This window comes from Homo sapiens, chromosome 17 (genome assembly GCF_000001405.40).
Source record: "Homo sapiens chromosome 17, GRCh38.p14 Primary Assembly".
NCBI classification, from domain to species: Eukaryota; Metazoa; Chordata; class Mammalia; order Primates; family Hominidae; genus Homo; species Homo sapiens.
In genome coordinates, this window is record NC_000017.11 from 58,988,079 (window position 1) to 59,006,378 (window position 18,300).

Genomic DNA, 18,300 nt, shown 5'->3' on the forward strand with positions numbered 1-18,300 from the left:
GAGAAGACATTAGCACTAGTTTCGTAGGGTCGTTGTAAACAGACACTGGAAAGAATAGGCTAGCTAAAAGTGATGATTGGTGAAGGCAGAATATGGGCTGCAGGAGTGTTAAGACCCGGGGGCCTGCAGAAACTAGGGGAGTCGCCCTATCTTGCAGGCTTTTTCTTTACAATCTCTACCAGGGGCTCAGAAAATACTGTAAAGAGCCCTAAGAAGTGTCGGCTGTGACACACACCCAGGGGAGTATACAGCGGCCTTGGGCATGGGTAAAGGAACTTACCATACCCTTTCTCTCATCTCACAGAACAAAAGCACCCTATGAGGGAAAAGGAGCACAAATACTGTTGCCGTCTGGACACTGGTGAAAAGTCACTGCAGCAGAGAGAAGGGACTATGGAAGAAAAGCCCCATCCCAGAGGAGGGGGCAGAAATATCACTGGGCCCACAATTAGCTGGGAAGGGGCAAGTAAACAGAGACCCTCCCAAACCTAGGGACACAGTGCCTAAAACTGCAACCTAATCCAAGAACGCCAGCCCCTCCCCAGCCCCCGTTACACTTCAAGAAACAGCAGAGTATTTCCAGGAGGAGGACAGCAGAGCAACGGAAGCAGAGAGAGAGACCCTCTTGGAGACCCAGCACAAAGCTTCTGAGCCTGGAAACTCAGGGTCAGAAACACAGTGCTCTGGTATCCAACACCAATCAGAAATACAAGGTATCATCACAGGAACTCGAGACCACTAAGGATAATCATAGCAAATCCAATCTTGAACCAAGCACAACTCCTAACTACTATTAGATTGGCATAAAAGTAATTTTGGTTCTTGCCATTAAAAAATGCGAAAACCACAATTACTTTTCCACCAGCCATAATATATTAATTCAACCTCTGCCAACAAAGGTCTTAGCAGCAGGAAAGGCCTCCTTACTTTCAGGTGTAAAAACTATTCACCAAAGTATCTTGTCCTATGTGAGATGTGTTGCTATTAACAAAATATATAGAGTCATATGAAAAGCCAAGAAGAAAACATTCTGAAGATATGAAACATTCATCAGAACCAGAGTCAGATAACAGAGATTTTGGAAATGAGAGAGAATTTTAAATAATTATTGTTTTGAGAGGCCAAGGTGGGAGGATTGCCTGAGGTCATGAGTTCGAGACCAGCCTGGTCAACATGGCGAAACCCCGTCTCTACTAAAAATACAAAAATCAGCCAGGCGTGGTGGTGCACACCTGTAGTCCCAGCTACTCAGGAGGCTGAGGCAGGAGAATCGCTTGAACCTTGGAGGTGGAGGTTGCAGTGAGCTGAGATTGCACCACTGCACTCCAGCCTGGGTGACAGAGCGAGACTCTCTCAAAAAAATAAAAAAAATAAAATTATGTTTACTATGTCAAGAAAAATGGTGGATACTATGCAAGATCATATGGGTGATTACAGCAAATCGATGGAACCTATAATTAAATATTAATAGAAATGTAAGACATGAAAAATGCCAAAACAGAGATGATGAATGCCTTCAGTTGGCTAATCAGTAGGCTCTAAACTGCTGAAAAGAAAATCAGTACATCTTGAAGATAAGTTAAAAAAATTACCTTAACTGAAACACAACAGAAAAAAATGAAGGGAAAACAAAATCAACCCAGAACGTAATATACAAAAGCTGTGGGACAGTATCTGTGTAAAATATGCACAACTAGAATCCTAGAAGGAGAAGAGAAAGATAATGGGCAGAAGAAATATTCGAAGAGATAATGGCTTAGAGTTTTCCAAAACTAATGACAGACACAAAACCACAGATAAAAGAAACTCAGAGAACATCAAGCAAAGCTAGGTGAGGTGGGTCACACCTGTAACCCCAGCACTTTGGTTGGCTGAGGTGGGAGGATAGCTTAAACTTAGGAGTTCAAGACCAGCCTGGGCAATGCAGTGAGACCCCCTCTGAAAAAAAAAAATTAGCTGGACATGGTGTGTGGCTTGTAGTCCCAGCTACTCAGGAGGCTGAGGTGGGAGGATTGCTTGAGCCCAGGAGGGTTGAGGCTGCAGTAAGCTGTGATCATGCCACTGCTCTCCAGCCTGGGTGACAAAGCAAGACCTTGTCTCAAAAAAAAAAAAAAAAAAAAAAAAAAAAAAGGCTAGGCATGGTAGCTCACACCTATAATCCCAGCACTTTAGGAGGCCGAGGCAAGCAGATCACTTGAGGCCAGGAGCTTGAAACCAGCCTGGAAAACATGGAGAAACCCTATCTCTACTAAAAACACAAAAATTAGCTAAGCATGGTGGTGCACGCCTGTAATCCCAGCTACTAGGGAGGCTGAGACACAAGAATCGTGTGAACCTTGGAGATGGAGGTTGTAGTGAGCTGAGATCGAGCCACTGCACTCCAGCCCAGGTGACAGAGTGGGACTCTGTCTCAAAAGAAAAAAAAAAATCAAGGCTGGGCCCAGTGGCTCATGCCTGTAATCCCAGCACTTTGGGAGGCTGAGGCAGGTGGATCACAAGGTCAGGAGTTCAAGACCAGCCTGACCAACCTGGTGAAACCCTGTCTCTACTAAAAATACAAAAATTAGCTGGGTGTGGTGGTGCGCACCTGTAATCCCAGCTACTCAGGAGGGTGAGGCAGGAGAATCACTTGAACCCGGGAGGCAGAGGTTGCAGTGAGTCGAGATCATGCCACTGCACTCCAGCCTGGGCAACAGAGTGAAACTCTGTCTCAAAAAAAAAAAAAAGAAAGAAAGGAAAAAGAAAAAAAAAAATCAGAGCACACCAAGCAAGGTAAATACCAACCACACCACACCTAAGAAAAAGAAGTTTCCTGGCCAGGCACGGTGGCTCACGGCTATAATCCCAGCACTTTGGGAGGCTGAGGTGGGCAGATCACCAGGTCAGGAGTTCAAGACCAGCCTGGCTAACATGGTGAAACCCCATTTCTACTAAAAATAAAAAAAAATGAGCTAGGTGTGGTGGCGCACGCCTGTAATCCCAGCTACTCAGGAGGCTGAGGCAGAAGAATCATTTAAACCCAGGAGGCGGAGGTTGCAGTGAGCTGAGATCGCAGTATTGCACTCCAGCCTGGGCAACAAGAGTGAAACTCTGTCTCAAAAAAAAAAAAAAAAAAGAAAAAAGTTTCCTCCTAGTTGGTTACACTGGTGAATTCTACTAAACAGTTAAAGAATAAGGCCAGGCAGGGTGGCTCATGCCTGTAATCCCAGCAATTTGGGAGGCGAAGGTGGGTGGATCACATGAGGTCAGGAGTTTGAGACCAGCCTGGCCAACATGGTAAAACCTTGTCTCTACTAAAAATACAAAAATTAGCTGCGCGTGGTGGCAGGTGCCTGTAATCCCAGCTACTCGGAAGGCTGAGACAGGAGAATCGCTTCAACCTGGGAGGTGGAGGTTCCAGTGAGCCGAGATAAAAAAAAAGTAATAATAAATAAATACCACCAATTCTACACCCTCTTTTCCAGAAAATAGAACACTCATTTTATGAGGTCAGCATTACTCTGACACCAAATCAGATGACGACAGAAAATTTCAGACCAGGATCGCTCTGAATATAGATGGAAAAGTTCTGGCAAAATATTAGCAAAACAAATACCATTACACACCTATTAGAATGGCTAAAAAATGGCTGGTTAGCTCAGTTGGTTAGAAGAAAAACCAAAAAGAATGGCTAAAAAACTTCTGGCAGTGCCAAATATTTGTGAGATGCCACTGGAACTCTCATGTGCTACTGATGGGAATGCAGAATGGTATGTCACTGTGGAGGTTGGGCAGCGTCTCAGTAAAGACTCTACTTACCATATGACTCAGTGCAATGAGTGCTGACACCAACCACCCGGAGTTAGGTCAAACTGTACAGGTTATGGGCAAAGTCTTCCACAAGACTGCCCTCATTCCAGACACAAGCTCCAAGTTCCGGGATCCTGAGGCCACCCTCACTTCTGATCAGCTGATTACAAATTTGGGCGTATTTGCTATCCTACTCATGTTTAATAATTGACTAGAACAACTCACAGAACTCAGAAATGCACTTATGATCAGAGTTTCATTATGACAAAAGGTTACAAATAAAGCCAGCTAAAGGGAGAGATACATAGGGTGAGGCCTGGGAGAGGCCCAAATGTGAAGGCCCCTTGACTTCAGGACAACTTACTCTCCAGGCACACTGATATATATATATATAAATATAAATATATATATATTTATATTTATATATATTTATATATATATAAATACATATGTAAATATATATATATATATATATAAATACAGAGTACTGTCAACCAGGGAAACTCACTCAAGCTTTAGTGTCCAGTTTTGAGACGGAGTTTCACTCTTTTTGCCCAGGCTGGAGTGCGATGGCACAATCTTGGTTCACGGCAACCTCCACCTCCCGGGTTCAAGTGATTCTTCTGCCTCAGTCTCCCAAGTAGTTGGGATTACAGGCATGCGCCACCACGCCTGGCTAGTTTTGTATTTTTAGTAAAGATAGGGTTTCTCCATGTTGGTCAGGCTGGTCTCGAACTCCCGACCTCAGGTAATCTGCCTTCCTCGGCCTCCCAAAGTGCTGGGATTACAGGCGTGAGCCACTGTGCCCGGCAGGTGTCCAGATTTTTTACTGGAACTTCCTTATGTAGGCATAACAATCATTGGCAATGAGTTGAACTGGGCTATCACATGGTTCAGAGCTCCAACTGTCTAATGACACCCACAGCATTTCTGGTGTAGCCAGCCCCGATCCTGAGTCATCTCATTAGCATACACTAGCAAGGCCCACCATAAATAACTCCTAACACTTGAGGAATGCCAAGGATTTAGAGGGCACTTCCCAGGAACTAGGACAAAGGCCAGACAAATTCTCTATTGCACACCCAGCAATCCTGTCCCTAGGCATATATGGTTTGGCTGTGTCCCCACCCAAATCTCATCTTGAATTCCCACATATCATGGGAGGGACCCAGTGGGAGGTAATTGAATCATGGGGGCAAGACTTTCCTGTGCTGTTTTTGTAATACTGAATAAGCCTCATGAGATCTGATGGTTTTATAAGGGGGAGTTTCCCTGCACAAGCTCTCGTCTGCCACCACATGAGATGTGCCTTTTACCTTTTGCCATGATTGTGAGGCCTCCCCAGCCACGTGGAACTGTAAGTCCAATAAACCTCTTTCTTTTGTAAAATGCCCAGTCTCGGGTATATCTTTATCAGCAGCATGAAAACAGACTAATACAGCATGTAACACTCTAGAGAATAAAAGCTTACACTCACACAAAAATCTGTACCCAAACGTTTACAAGAGTCTAATCACCCTAAACTAGAAATAACCCAAATGGGCAAATGAATGAACAGTGGTATATCCACACAGTGGACTACTACTGCTCAGCAATAAAAAAGAAGGAGGTGCTGATTCACACAAGATGAGTGAAACTTAACTGCACTTTGCGAAGCGAGAGGTCAAACTGTGATCCCGTTTACATGACTCTGGAAAAGCAAAAACTAAAAGGGCAGAGAACAGATCAGATCAGATCAGATCAGCGGTAGCCAGGAGCTGTGGGGAAGGGGGGTGGTTACCTATAAAGGGCCAGCACAGGGGAATCTTGGGGGTGACTGAAATGTTCTGTATAGTATTGTGGTGGCGGATACAAGACATTTGTTGAAACCCACAGAACTGTATGCCAGAAAGACTGAATTTTAATGTATGTAAATTTACAAATTAACCAGGATATGTGGGGGAGGACAGAATGTAGACCATAACAGATGAACCTGTTACACCAACGAAGCACAAAATCACAATGAAGGGATTTTGTGAAAGAACAGAACTAATGTAATTTTGAACCTAAATATCTTTGAAAAAAATGTTATGACACAATACTGAAAAGCTAAAGACTAAAAGAACTGTATACAAGCACTGTATTTTAGGTGGTAAATCTGTTTTTTGTAGGGCATAGCCTGGAATCCACAGGAGGCCAACGGTTCTGAAGCTACTTGTATATTAGGGTTGAACAAGTACATACATATATTGTAGCTAATGAGAGCTAGGCTTCTGTCAGAGAAAGGCATTATAAATAAGAGGGAAGGCCAGAATGAGGCCTCTGGAGCTGAACTGTTACCAATATAGACTCACAGTCATAGTGACACACACACACAGATATGTACAGAAATACACATAAATGTGTGTATTTGCATGAGTTAACTATACAGTCAGCCCTCTATTATCTTTGGTTTCTGCATCCATGGAGTCAACCAACAATAGACAGAATTTATTTTTAAAAAATAATAAAAAAAATAGCACAATAATTTACATAGCATTTACATTGTATTAGGTATTACAGGTAATCCAGAGATGATTTAAAGTATCTGGGAGATCAGGCGTGGTGGCTCACACCTGTAGTCCCAGCTACCTGAGAGGCTGAGGTGGGAGGATTGCTTGAGCCTAAGACTTCATAGCTGCAGTAAGCTATGCACAGCTGCACCCTAGCCTGGGCAACAGAATGAGACCGTCTCAAAACCCAAAACAAAGTATCCAGGAGGATGTGCACAGGTTATATGCAAACACTATACCGTTTTATATAGGGGACTTGAGCATCTGTGGACTTTGGTATCCACAGGGAGTCTTGGAACCAATCCCTCACAGATGCTAAGGAACAGCTGTCTATATACATTTTCTTTCTTTCTTTTTTTTTTTTTTTGAGACAGAGTTTCGCTCTTGTTGCCCAGGCTGGAGTGCAAATGGCACGATCTCGGCTCACTGCAACCTCCGCCTCACGGGTTTAAGCGATTCTCCTGCCTCAGCCTCCTGAGTAGCTGGGATTACAGGCATGCGCCATCACAGCCAGCTAATTTTGTATTTTTAGTACAGATGGGGTTTCTCCATGTTGGTCAGGTTGGTCTCGAACTCCCGACCTCAGGTGATCCACCTGCCTCAGCCTCCCAAAGTACTGGGATTACAGGCATGAGCCACTGTGCCCGGCCATACATTTTCTTTTTTTTGAGACAGTGTCTCACTCTGTCACGCAGGCTGAAGTGCAGTAGCACGATTTTGGCTCACTGCAACCTCTACCTCCCAAGCTCAAGTGATCCTCCCACCTCAGCCTCCCAAGTAGCCGGGACCACAGGTGTGCACCACCACACCCAGCCAATTTACATTTTCTATCTATCCATTGAGTGGGACTAGAAGCAGTGACAGTCTAATAATAATAAATATGTGGCATCCAAATCTTTGTTTCTAGATAGCATTCTCCAATAAAAAGAACCATGGTTCCTTAGGAAGTGGTTAATTCCATGGCTGGGGTAGGCATCTTGTGATGTCAGAAAGCAAAGAAATGCTTAAAAAAAAAAAAAAAGAAGAATGAGACATATGAAAAGGGCACAGGAGCCAATCTGGAAGAGTTTCCAATGGCTAAAATTAGAACAAGCCAAGCTACAAAATATTAACAGTATTGAGTCATAACTCAAAAATAAATATCCATCATATATAGATATATAAAGTAGCTGATATAAATAAGTAGCTGAAATTACAAAAATGGGGAAGAAGGGACTTTTCCTCACAGCATTCTAACAAAAAACATAGAAGAAATTAGTGAATTAGAAAAGTACCATTAAAACATTACAGTAATAATTCCCATAGGCAAGATCGACTACTAGGTGCTAAAATTCGTAAGCAAGAGTTTTGGCTGGGCGCAGTGGCACATGCCTCTATCGCAGCACTTTTGGAGGCTGAGACGGGAGGGTCACTTGAACCCAAGAACTCAAGAACTCCATCTCTATAAAAAATACAAAAATTATCCCAGTGTGACTGCGCATGCCTGTAGTCCCAGCTACTTAGGAGGCTGAAGTGGGAGGATCGCTTAAGCCCAGGGGGTTGAGGCTGTATGAGCCAACATCGCACCACTACAGCATGGGTAACAAAGCCAGACCCTGTCTTCCAAAAAAAAATAATAATAATAATTAATAGAAACAAGGTATCTGCATAGTTTCAAAGTATCTGCCCCAAATATTTAGTAATTACAAAGGGGGAAAACGTAAATCTATAGTAGGAAATCCTCACAGACACCATCTTAACCAAGTAATCTCAAGGTTAAGTTCACCAATAAAAAAGTATCAACATCAGGGCTGGGCGGGCACAGTGGCTCATGCTTCTAATCCAGCACTTTGGGAGGCCGAGGCGGGTGGATCACTTGATGTCAGAGTTCGAGACCAGCCTAGCCAACATGGTGAAACCCCATCTCTACTAAAATACAAAAATTAGCCGGGCGTGGTGGTGCATGCCTGTAATCCCAGCTATTTGGGAGGCTGAAGCAGGAGAATGGCTTGAATCAGGGAGGCAGAGGTTGCAGTCAGCTGAGATCATGCCACTGCACTCCAGCCTGGCCGACAGAGTGAGAACCTGTCTCAAAAAAAAAAAAAAAAAAATCAGTATCAGGCCAGCATCGCACCTGCAATCTAGCCTGCAATCAACCTACCACTTTGGGAGGCTGAGGCAGGGGGATCACTTTGAGCTCAGGAGTTGGAGGCCAGCCTGGAGTGAAACCCCATCTCCACAAAAAATAGAAAAATTAGCCAGGTGTGTTGGTGGACACCTACTCAGGAGGCTTAGGTGGGAGGATCACTTGAGCCTGGGAAGCAGAGGCTGCAGTGAGCCAAGCTGGTGCCACTGCATTCTAGCCTGAGCAACAGAGTGAGACTCCATCAAAAAAAAAAAAAAAGTATATATATATGTGTGTGTGTGTGTGTGTGTGTGTGTGTATGTATGTATATATATGTATATTTATATATCAACATCATATCCCCCCTGATGTGATGCACTAAGGGCCTTCCCAATAATGCATAACCTCAATTTAATATAGGAAAGCATCTGTCAAACCCAAATAAGAAGAACATTTAATAAAATAACACATCCTCTTCAAAAATATCAAGGTCATGAAAGCAAGGAAAGGCGGAAGAGCTGTCATATACTGAAGGATCCTGAGGAAACATGGTAACAAAATACAATGTGGGATCCTAGACCGGATCCTAGAACAGAAAAAGAACATTTGTGAAATAACTGGTGCGATCTGAACAAATTCTGTAGTTTGGTAAACAATATTGCAACCAGGATTAACTTCTTAGTTTTGATCACTGTTCTGTGATTATGTAAGGCATTAACAAAAGGAGAAGCTGGGCAGAGGGTATACGGAAACTCTTGCACAATTTTTTCAACTCTTTTGCAAACCTGAAATTATCTCAAAATTAAAAGCTAAAAAAAAAGAATAATCTTTAGGTTTTAAATTATTAGGTATCAGAATGTTGGGTCTGCTGCAAGTGAGATAAAGTGGAAAAGGCACTAGACCAGCAGTTCACCCCATCCCTGCCAGTGGTTTTGAACCTGAAGAGAATCATACAACCTCCCTGAACCTAAGGCTCCATGGCCAAACAGGTTTGATACACAACTCATCTACCTCAAAGGTTACTTAAAGATCAATGACACAAGTAGTTAAAGTTGTCCAGAAAGGACACGTTCACAGACAACACAAGCATTAATGTATCTCTAGCCCTAAGAAAACTCTATTCAGGAGAGATTTTCCAGGAATGAACTTGAGATAAAATACTAAATACAGAAGCAAGGTAACAGCAGACTGTTCTTCAGCAAAAAAGGAAAGGTTACAAAAATAAAAATAAAAAAACATGCTGAGGGCTCTATCAGGGTACAGAAAGAGCAAGAAAGTAGGACAAGCAGAGAGTGGAGCAACTGGTTCTTCTCCTGTGCCTCTTCCTTCCCTCTCTGCTACCTAAAATTTAGCATAGCAGACTACATCAAGGAAGAGGGAAAACAGCGGTGTTCCCGACATCACCAAGGAACTCAGAGCAGCTTTAGTATATAAGGTGGCTTGGAAACGAGGGGGAAACTACTTTCCTGTCCTAAAAGCAAACAGGTCTGAACTAAAAGCTATCATCTCTGAAGAAATCTTTTGGCCTTTCAGGTTTATTCTAATTTTAGAATGACTGGGATCGATGCTAGGCATCACTCCTCGCCATTAGACTAAACACAAACTAATCAAATGTTTGGATCTTCTCTACACTACTAATGAGGCAATGAGTAGAAAAGAAGGGGTTTCTGGTCCCAATTTAATAAACAGCAGAGGCATATTTTCTCAAGTTGATTTTATTAACAAAAAGTGCAAACTATTTTGAACAAAAGTAAACTATGAGTCACAGCATTCAGCAAGACATCAGACACGGAAGAGTGAACAATATTCACTAAGTAAAATACAGCAGATGAGATGTCTCTCACATGTATATTTAATTATTCATGCTTTTTCAATAGTCTCTTAGTCAACTTTCAGTGTAATTTCCACAAATATATAGCAGCTCAAACACAAATGCAGGAGCACAATGGCAAAGTTTGGCAACTGTTTTGGGCTAATTATGAGTATGAAAGAAAACCTTATATCACAGTTTCACGTTCATGTAAGCCACTGTGCAACATGAATGAATCTTTAAATGTGTTGACACTGAAATCAATGTACAACTAATGAAAATAAAGAAGAAAAGGGGGCTTTAAAATATTTGTTGCACTACAGTCGTATAGTAAGAGGCAGAAAAAAATGAAAGAATTTTAAATAATCTTACACGTGTCTACAGGGCCAGGAACGTAATGAATCCATGTTAACTTAATTTCATTTAAAATTACATTTGTAGAAGTCACACAACAGAAAGATACCATGCGGTTGAACAGTGTGCCTGTACTTGAACAAGTGAGAGAAGATACATACTCCAAAAAGGAGATTCAGTCTAGTGTTACTTCAGTTATTCACATAGTGTCTACAGGGCAGAATCTCTTCCAAAGCAATTTTCTGTTCACTAATCTACAGGCACTAATGGAACTGTAATTAAAACCCCAAATATAAAGATGATTATTTAAACACAACTAAGCTCTAGCCAAAGACAGTAGAGCACCAATGCCGGGCGGGTTACTGACGGCATGCAGGGCCTGGAGGTACATTTTCTGGCAGTTAACCAGCCTTCTGCTGTAGTAGACAAACTGCCTTTTGTGAATGTACAAATTTGCTAAATTAATAGAGAACTACATTGTTATTTCCTTACATTACAAAGAACTCTTCCCATACTGTTTTTCCCATGTACTACTGCTGTCTTAGACTAAACTGTGCCACCTTCCAACAGTTTCCAAATTACTATTTCAGGTCGAGATAATGAAGAAATAAGACCAAATCTGATTATCTGACTGATGACAAATTTGAGCACCAACTACAGCAAAATTCAGGGTCAAGGTAGCTTGCAAGTCAGTTCTCTTGATTTGGCAATTACCTTCCACTATTTTCATCTGTATTGAAGCTGAGATCTTCAGGGCCTATTTGTTCACCATCAGGAAAACTGGAATGTGTATCTATGATTAAAAAATAAATAAAAAATTTAAAATTTAAAAGCATATAACAAGGGCAGTATTTTCCTTCCCAAGTCTTTAAATAATCTTACCAAATGTGTTATTTAAGTGATAAAGATGTGCTGGGTTGTGAACAAATCTCTGTCTTCAGAGAATTTGTGATCTGAGTCAGGTATAAGCAAACACAAAGGAAAAATAAAGGAGAAAAAAACAAAATGTGTAATAGACACCCACAATTAAAAGATGACAGGAATTGTCTCATTTTGTCCTCCTGGGGACAATCTGGGGACAGCTTAAAAAGGGAACAAGAAGCAATGGTGTATATTCTCAAGATTCAAGACCTTATAAACATAAAACATATTTCAAAGCCAATTAAACTACGCATTCAAGTATCACTACAAAAACCCACCAGCACTCCAAATAACTTGCACAAAATTTGGATGCTTATTTTAGAAGCAGAGGAAGTTACTAAAGATGCCTTAATACTTACAAATCATCAAATGCTTGGTTCTGTATTGAAAAAGATACCAGAGCACCAGGAAAATATGCAAAATATAAAGCAGAAAATGGCATAGGCTTAACAATGTTGTCACTCCAGGATATCTTGCAGAGGAATGTTCAGATTGATTATTAAGGCCTCTGGGTAACTTTAAATGTGTATTTCTCTAACTTGACAGTATATCCTTTTACTGATTAATCTGTATTCCAGAAAACTGCTTGACAGCAGAATACTTATGGTATATCCACATGATAGAATATTAGGTTGCCATAAAAAATGAAGTTTATGAAATTTTAAATAACATACAAATATATTTAAGTGAAAAAAGCAGAATAAAAAACTATTTATAAAATATTTAGGTAGGGCTGGCATGGTAGCTCACACCTGTAACCCCAGTACTTTGGGAGGCCAAGGTGGGCAGATCACCTGAGGTCAGGAGTTCGAGACCAGGCTGGCCAACATGGTGAAACCCTGTCTCTACTAAAAATTACAAAAACTAGCTGGATGTGGTGGCACATGCCTGTAGTCCCAGCTATTCAGGAGGCTGAGGTGGGAGAATTGCTTGAACCCAGGAGGCAGAAGTTGCAGTGAGCTGAGATTGTGCCACTGCACTTCAGCTTGGGAGACAGAGCAAGACTCTGTCTAAAAAAAAAAGAAGAAGAAATGCAATGCAAATAAGACAGAAGAAAACAAGGGAAAATATTAATAGTAGGTTTCTCTTGTTTTTTTCCTAATAACTTTTTTGGGGGTAGGAGGGAATAAAAATTATTTCATAATCTGCATGTATTTCTAAGTTATTTTTATTTTAAAAGGTTAAAGTTATCTTACAGTAGGCTAGAAAAGGAAAAAAAACCCAAACATCTGAAATCTCCCCAGGGATTGGCAATCATTTCCTATGAAGGGTAAATATTTAGGCATTGTAGGCCACAAATGGACTCTCTTGAAAATTCTTCTTTGGGCTGGGCACGGTGGCTCACGCCTGTAATACCAGGACTTTGGGAGGCCAAGGCAGGTGGATCACGAGGTCAAGAGTTCGAGACCAGCCTGGCCAACATGGTGAAACTCCATCTCTACTAAAAATACAAAAACATTAGCCAGGCGTGGTGGTGTATACCTGTAATCCCAGCTACTCAGGAGGCTGAGGCAGGAGAATCGCTTGAACCCAGGAGGCGGAGGTTGCAGTGAGCCAAGATCACGCCACAGCACTCCATCCTGGGTGACAGAACAAGACTCCATCTCGGGGCAAAAAAAAAAAAAAAGAAAAAAAAAACCCACAAAGAAAATTCTTCTTTGTTTCTTTTGCTTGGTTTTTAAAGACTCTTTACAAAGTAAAAACCATTCTCAGGTCACAGACTATACAAAAGCAGGTTGTGGACCCCGTCTCTGCCCAGTAAGTAGCACTCATTAGGTGCAACCAAGCCAAATATTACTGGCTGTGTTTTTTTAGTACTCACCATAATAGTTAACCAAAGAATGTTGTCTCACAAATGACAATAATTAAAAAAAAAAAAAAAGAAGTAGAAGCAGAAGAAGCAAAAGCAGTAGAGCGGAAAAAGTAGAAGTAGCAGCAGCAGAAGAAGAAGAAAGAGAAGCGGCAGCGGTGGTTTTAGTAATCTGTGTAAAATGACATCATGTGCTGCACCTTCATCCGGGGGCTGTGTCATGACCATGAAGGAGTCGTGAAACCCGCCCACACTGGTATGCTCTTCCTGCTCCTCATTCTCAGTGTCACATTCAATGTCACTGTCGCTACTCATTCCTGGCAGGAAGGAAGGAGAACATGTTTCTGAAAAGAAACCACTGTAAGTAAAAGGAAACAGAAATCTCCGTATCTGCTAAACTGAGATTCCTATTGAATTTTACATGGAATGCCAAGAATTCAACAAACTAAACACTAACAAAACAAAGACAAAAGTAACCGCACAAACCTCGATTCTCTTTAGCTATTTAGAGTGGTTTTATTTCTGTTCTCAAAGTTTAAAATTGCCCTTTCCATAGTACCTGAAAGTTATTATTTGAAACCAGCATTAATTTTATTATACTGATAATACTTTTTTCCAAATCAAACACTGTTTTTTTTTCAGTCACAAGAGATAACAGGAACTCTTTTAATCCTGATTCATTATAGACATAATTATATTCCCTAGCCTAAAACATAAATATAAATGTGTTATACAAATCCACATGGTGTATGAATATTAGAAATTCTGGCAATTCTAATAATAGTTTGTATTCTAATTGGGCATCTAATTTTTTTGTGTATGTCGGTTGATTTGTATTTATTTTTATTTTTTGAGAGACAGGGTCTCGCTCTGTCACCCTAGGCTGGGCTGCAGTGGCCTGATCATAGCTCACTGCAGCCTCAAACTCCTAAGCTCAAGGGATACTTCCGCCTTAGCCTCCCAAGTAGATAGGTCCACAGGTACATGACACCATGCCCTGCTAATTTAAAAATTTTTTGGAGGGACAGGGTCTTGCTATAATATGTTGCCCAGGCTGGTCTTGAAATCCTGGGCTTGAGAAGAGATCCTCCCACTTTAGCCTCTTACAGTGCTGGGATTACAGGTCACTGTGCCTGGCCACATCAGTTGATTTTTAAAAGAATAATTCTATAAAAAGTATTTGTTTCAGCAAGATAGCAATCAAGAAAACCTGAAAATCTTTCTGCTACAAATCCTTACAAATAGCAAGATAAAATATAAATGTAAAACATTATTTTAATGAACAAGCACATTAAAAGGCAGAAAGGAAATCCACAGTGTCAGAAACAAAGAAAGATAAGGAACTTTCATTAGTGGGTCAGGGACCACAGTTGCCCTGGAGAGCTTCCTGTGAGGATTTTTAAACACTGCCTTGGGATAGAAAAATGAACCCCCCACAGAAAGGGAATTAAAAGTGAGACTAAAACTCCACCCCCTGCATAATGTTAAAATTTTTGTTTGTTTTCTTGAGACAGGGTCTCACTCTGTTACCCAGGCTGGAGTACAGTGGTGCAATCATGGCTTACCACAGCCTTGACCTCCCAGGGCTCAGATGATCCTCCCACCTCAGCCTCCCAACAGGCCTGTGCCATCACACCTGGCTAATTTTTGTAATTTGTTAGTAGACATGGGATTTCGCCATGTTGCCCAGACTGGTCTTCAACTCCTGAGCTGAAGTGATTCACCCGCTTTGGCCTCCTAAAGTGGTGGCATTACAGGCATGAGCCACCATGCCTGGCCAATGCTAAAATTCCTATTGAAAGAACAGACTAGAAAAATGTCTGCCTACTGGCATAGGAAAACAGCAAGGAATTTTGTCTGTTTCTACTGGGCTCTGAAGAGGGGGAAAAAAGTCTTACCTCAAAATTCAAAGTAAGATTTATGTGCCTAATTTCGGTTTGGGATTTAAGGTTGAGGTTCAAATTTTAAGAAATTAACATAAAAATTGTTCAGGAGCTAGTGTTATTTGAATAAAGCAAAAGTAAAATCCTCTCTGGAAGGAAGGTTCTAGGTACAATGGAGCAAGCACATTCCACTCTATCTTTTCCACTGAAAGTAGCAATAAAACCTGGAGAGATGGGTAGTGTAGTTATTTAAGGATATTCATAGTTATTTACTTTGAAAAGTAAATAGAAACAGGCATACTGATGAAGACTGAATTTGAATGACAGCAAAACTGGCAGATTAAAACAAGACCCAGAGTCTTATTAAAAAAAAAAAAAAAAACCTAATGAAAATGTTCAGGATACAACCCCAAATTATTCAGCATATGAAAAACCAGGAAAGACAACCAACAAACATCAATGATGAGATGACACAGATGTCTGGAATTATTTAAGGGCTTTAAAGCTAGATAAAATGCTCATCAGCCAGGCCTGGTGGCACATGCCTGTAGTCCCAGCTACTTGAAAGGCTGAGGCAGGAGGATCGCTTGAGCCCAGGAGTTTGGGACTAGCCTGGGCAACTTAGCAAAGCCCCATCTCTATAAAAAAAAAAAAAAAAAAAAAAAATTTAAAAATTAGCCAGGCACACATTGGTGTGCACCTGTAATTGTCCTAGCTACTAGGGAGGCTGAGGAGGGAGGCCCACTTGAGCCCAGGAGTTCAAGCCTGCAGTGAGCTATGATTGTACCACTGTACTCCAGCCTAGGTAACAGAACACAAGACCCTGAGGGACAGAGGAAGGAAGGAAGAATTAAGAATGAAGGGGATAAAGGGACTGGTCTAAATTGTGTCAAATAGAATGCCATAGAGATAGCAAAAATAACAAAGGAGAGACAATAGATAAAAGGAAAAAAGTTGAAAATTTTGTAGAATTATAAAAAACATTCTGAATTAAATACAAATAAAACATATCAAAATTTGTGGGATGTGACTATAGCAGTGCTTAAAAGGAAAGGTATGACATTATTTATATTAGAAGAGAAAATATCTCAAATCAATAATCTAAACTACTACTTTAAGAAACTAGAAAAAGGAAATTAAACTCAAAGCAAGTAAAAGGAAGGAAATAATAAAAAACATAATAAAATCAGCAGAAAAACAAAAAAACCACAATGAAACAAAATGGTGTTTCTTTGAAAAGATCGATAAAGTTAAAAAAGCCTCTAGGTAGATTCACTAACAAAAAGAGAGCAAACAAAATTTCCAATATCAGGAATGAAAGAGGACATCAACTACAGGTTCTATAAACAGTAAAATATAATAAAATGCTATCAGTAACTGTATGCTCATGAAACCAAAAACAGATGAAATGAGCAAATTCTTTCCTAGGTACAAACTACCAAAGGTTACTCAAGGAAAAATCGATGGGTATTTTAACTCTTAAAGAAATAAAATCTGCTCTAGTTTAAAAAGCTTCCAACAAAGGCAACTGTGGCCCCACATGGCTTCAGTGGTACACTCTTCCTTTTCTCTTTTTAAGAAGAGTTTGGTTAGCATTATTTCAGCCTTAAATATTTAGAAATCGTCTCCATCTTCAGCAAAACAAAAAAACAAAAAAACAAACTTTCCTGTTCTAAAAGAGTGAAGAGTTTACAACAATTTTATGAAGTAGGGGAAAAAGAAAAAGAGCAGAGACGGTTAAAGAGGCCAAAACTAGCTAGTTCTGTGAAGCACCACCTCCACCTTGTGGCCCTTCATGGAACTGTTGCTGAAAACACTAAAACACACTGAGTTGAACTTCAAGGCACAAATTTGACCTCTTATTAGTAGTGTTTCTGAATTCCCGACAAATACCAACCTTCAGGATTCAAAAACAATGAATTGGAATTCTCTGGAATTCCCCAAATCTACATTATTCTTTTAAAAAAGTTATTAAATACATTTTTCAAACTCTATTCATTACATGTGTATCTTTTTTTTTTGAGACGGCGTCTCACTCTGTCACCCAGGTTGGCGTGCCACTGCGTGATCTCAGCCTACTGCAACCTCCACCTCCCAGGTTCAAGCAATTCTCCTGTCTCAGCCTCCCAAGTAGCTGGGATTACAGGCATGTGCCACCACACCCAGCTAATTTTTTTGTATTTTTAGTAGAGATGTGTTTCACCATACTGGCCAAGCTGGTCTCGAACTCCTGACCTTGTGATCTACCCGCTTCGGCCTCCCAAAGTGCTGGGATTATAGGTGTGAGCCACCGCATCCAGCCTACATGTGTATCTTTAAAACAAATCATTTAATTAGTATTTGTAAGAGCTGAGGCCTATAGTGAATATTCAAATGCTAGACTGCATGTGGGTATTACTGGGTAGTATGTGAATAATGTCACGTTTAGAACTCAGCAAGGTTTACAGTACTATGCAGAATCACATGTTAATAAAAATGCCAATATAAGGATTTTGCTTCAAAATCTTTCTTGGAACACCAATCAATTTTTATTAAGTATACCATGTGTAAACTCATTATTATTTACTTAGCAGCAGACAGGGCCATGAACACACATAAAACGGCGATATTTATAATGAGGACTGATTTGTAATCACTTCTTTCCAAGGAGCTCCTGTTGACCTTAACCTTTGATTCCAGGTATCAGTATTTCCAGTTTTTACTTTCAACTTGCCCTAAGTAGATTCCTTCAAATCAGTAATGTTTCTGTGTTGTTAAAATTAATTCTAATAAGACAATTAGAATAATGTTTTCCATTTATTAAACTTCTTGACTAATTTTTTTCAGAATTCAAAAAAAACACACATTTCCCAAGAAATGCTAGGAAGAAATTCCTGCATGAAAACGCCTGGTCTTTTATCAAGCACTAAGATCTGGAAGTTTCCTACCTTTGTGAATGTAAAGAAAAAGACAAATGGCTGGACGTCAATGATAGCAATTACAAGATACTATTAATTGTAAGGAGCTTCAGAGATTGTTAACGCAAAAGAAATCTGCATCTTATTACTCTGTCAATCATCTACCATATTTTTTGAGCACCTACTATGTATGTGCTCAGT

At 40.5% G+C, this 18,300-nt stretch overlaps 1 protein-coding gene across 47 annotated transcripts in view, besides 4 other annotated features; it reads right to left on the reverse strand.

The window, feature by feature from the left end:
• Window positions 1–18,300, reverse strand: part of TRIM37 (tripartite motif containing 37) — a 139,680-nt gene that overhangs the window by 20,878 nt on the left and 100,502 nt on the right. For 12 of the 47 annotated variants that reach the window (XM_047436107.1, XM_017024662.2, XM_047436113.1 and 9 more), the window contains 2 exons: window positions 13,520–13,663; window positions 11,303–11,381 (listed from right to left, as the gene is read on the reverse strand). In XM_047436107.1, coding sequence (XP_047292063.1) covers window positions 11,303–11,381; window positions 13,520–13,663 — 223 coding nt within the window. Of the gene's footprint in view, window positions 1–10,123; window positions 11,382–13,519; window positions 13,678–18,300 lie in introns of those variants that run through there. The other 35 variants (XM_047436110.1, XM_017024663.3, XM_047436122.1 and 32 more) reach the window with 6 other exon arrangements.
• Window positions 5,419–5,619: a silencer, noted in NCBI's record as "peak2922 fragment used in MPRA reporter construct". NCBI's record gives its function as "represses an SCP1 promoter by STARR-seq MPRAs in K562 erythroleukemia cells {active_cell/tissue: K562}" and the evidence as "EXISTENCE:reporter gene assay evidence [ECO:0000049][PMID:32103011]".
• Window positions 13,175–14,374: an enhancer, noted in NCBI's record as "CDK7 strongly-dependent group 2 enhancer chr17:57078614-57079813 (GRCh37/hg19 assembly coordinates)". NCBI's record gives its function as "activates an origin of replication core promoter dependent on BRD2, BRD4, P300/CBP, MED14 and CDK7 cofactors, with strong dependence on CDK7, by STARR-seq in HCT116 cells {active_cell/tissue: HCT116}" and the evidence as "EXISTENCE:reporter gene assay evidence [ECO:0000049][PMID:35650434]".
• Window positions 13,319–13,558: an enhancer, noted in NCBI's record as "active region_12493". NCBI's record gives its function as "activates an Ori minimal core promoter by ATAC-STARR-seq in GM12878 lymphoblastoid cells {active_cell/tissue: GM12878}" and the evidence as "EXISTENCE:reporter gene assay evidence [ECO:0000049][PMID:35858748]".
• Window positions 13,609–13,658: an enhancer, noted in NCBI's record as "active region_12494". NCBI's record gives its function as "activates an Ori minimal core promoter by ATAC-STARR-seq in GM12878 lymphoblastoid cells {active_cell/tissue: GM12878}" and the evidence as "EXISTENCE:reporter gene assay evidence [ECO:0000049][PMID:35858748]".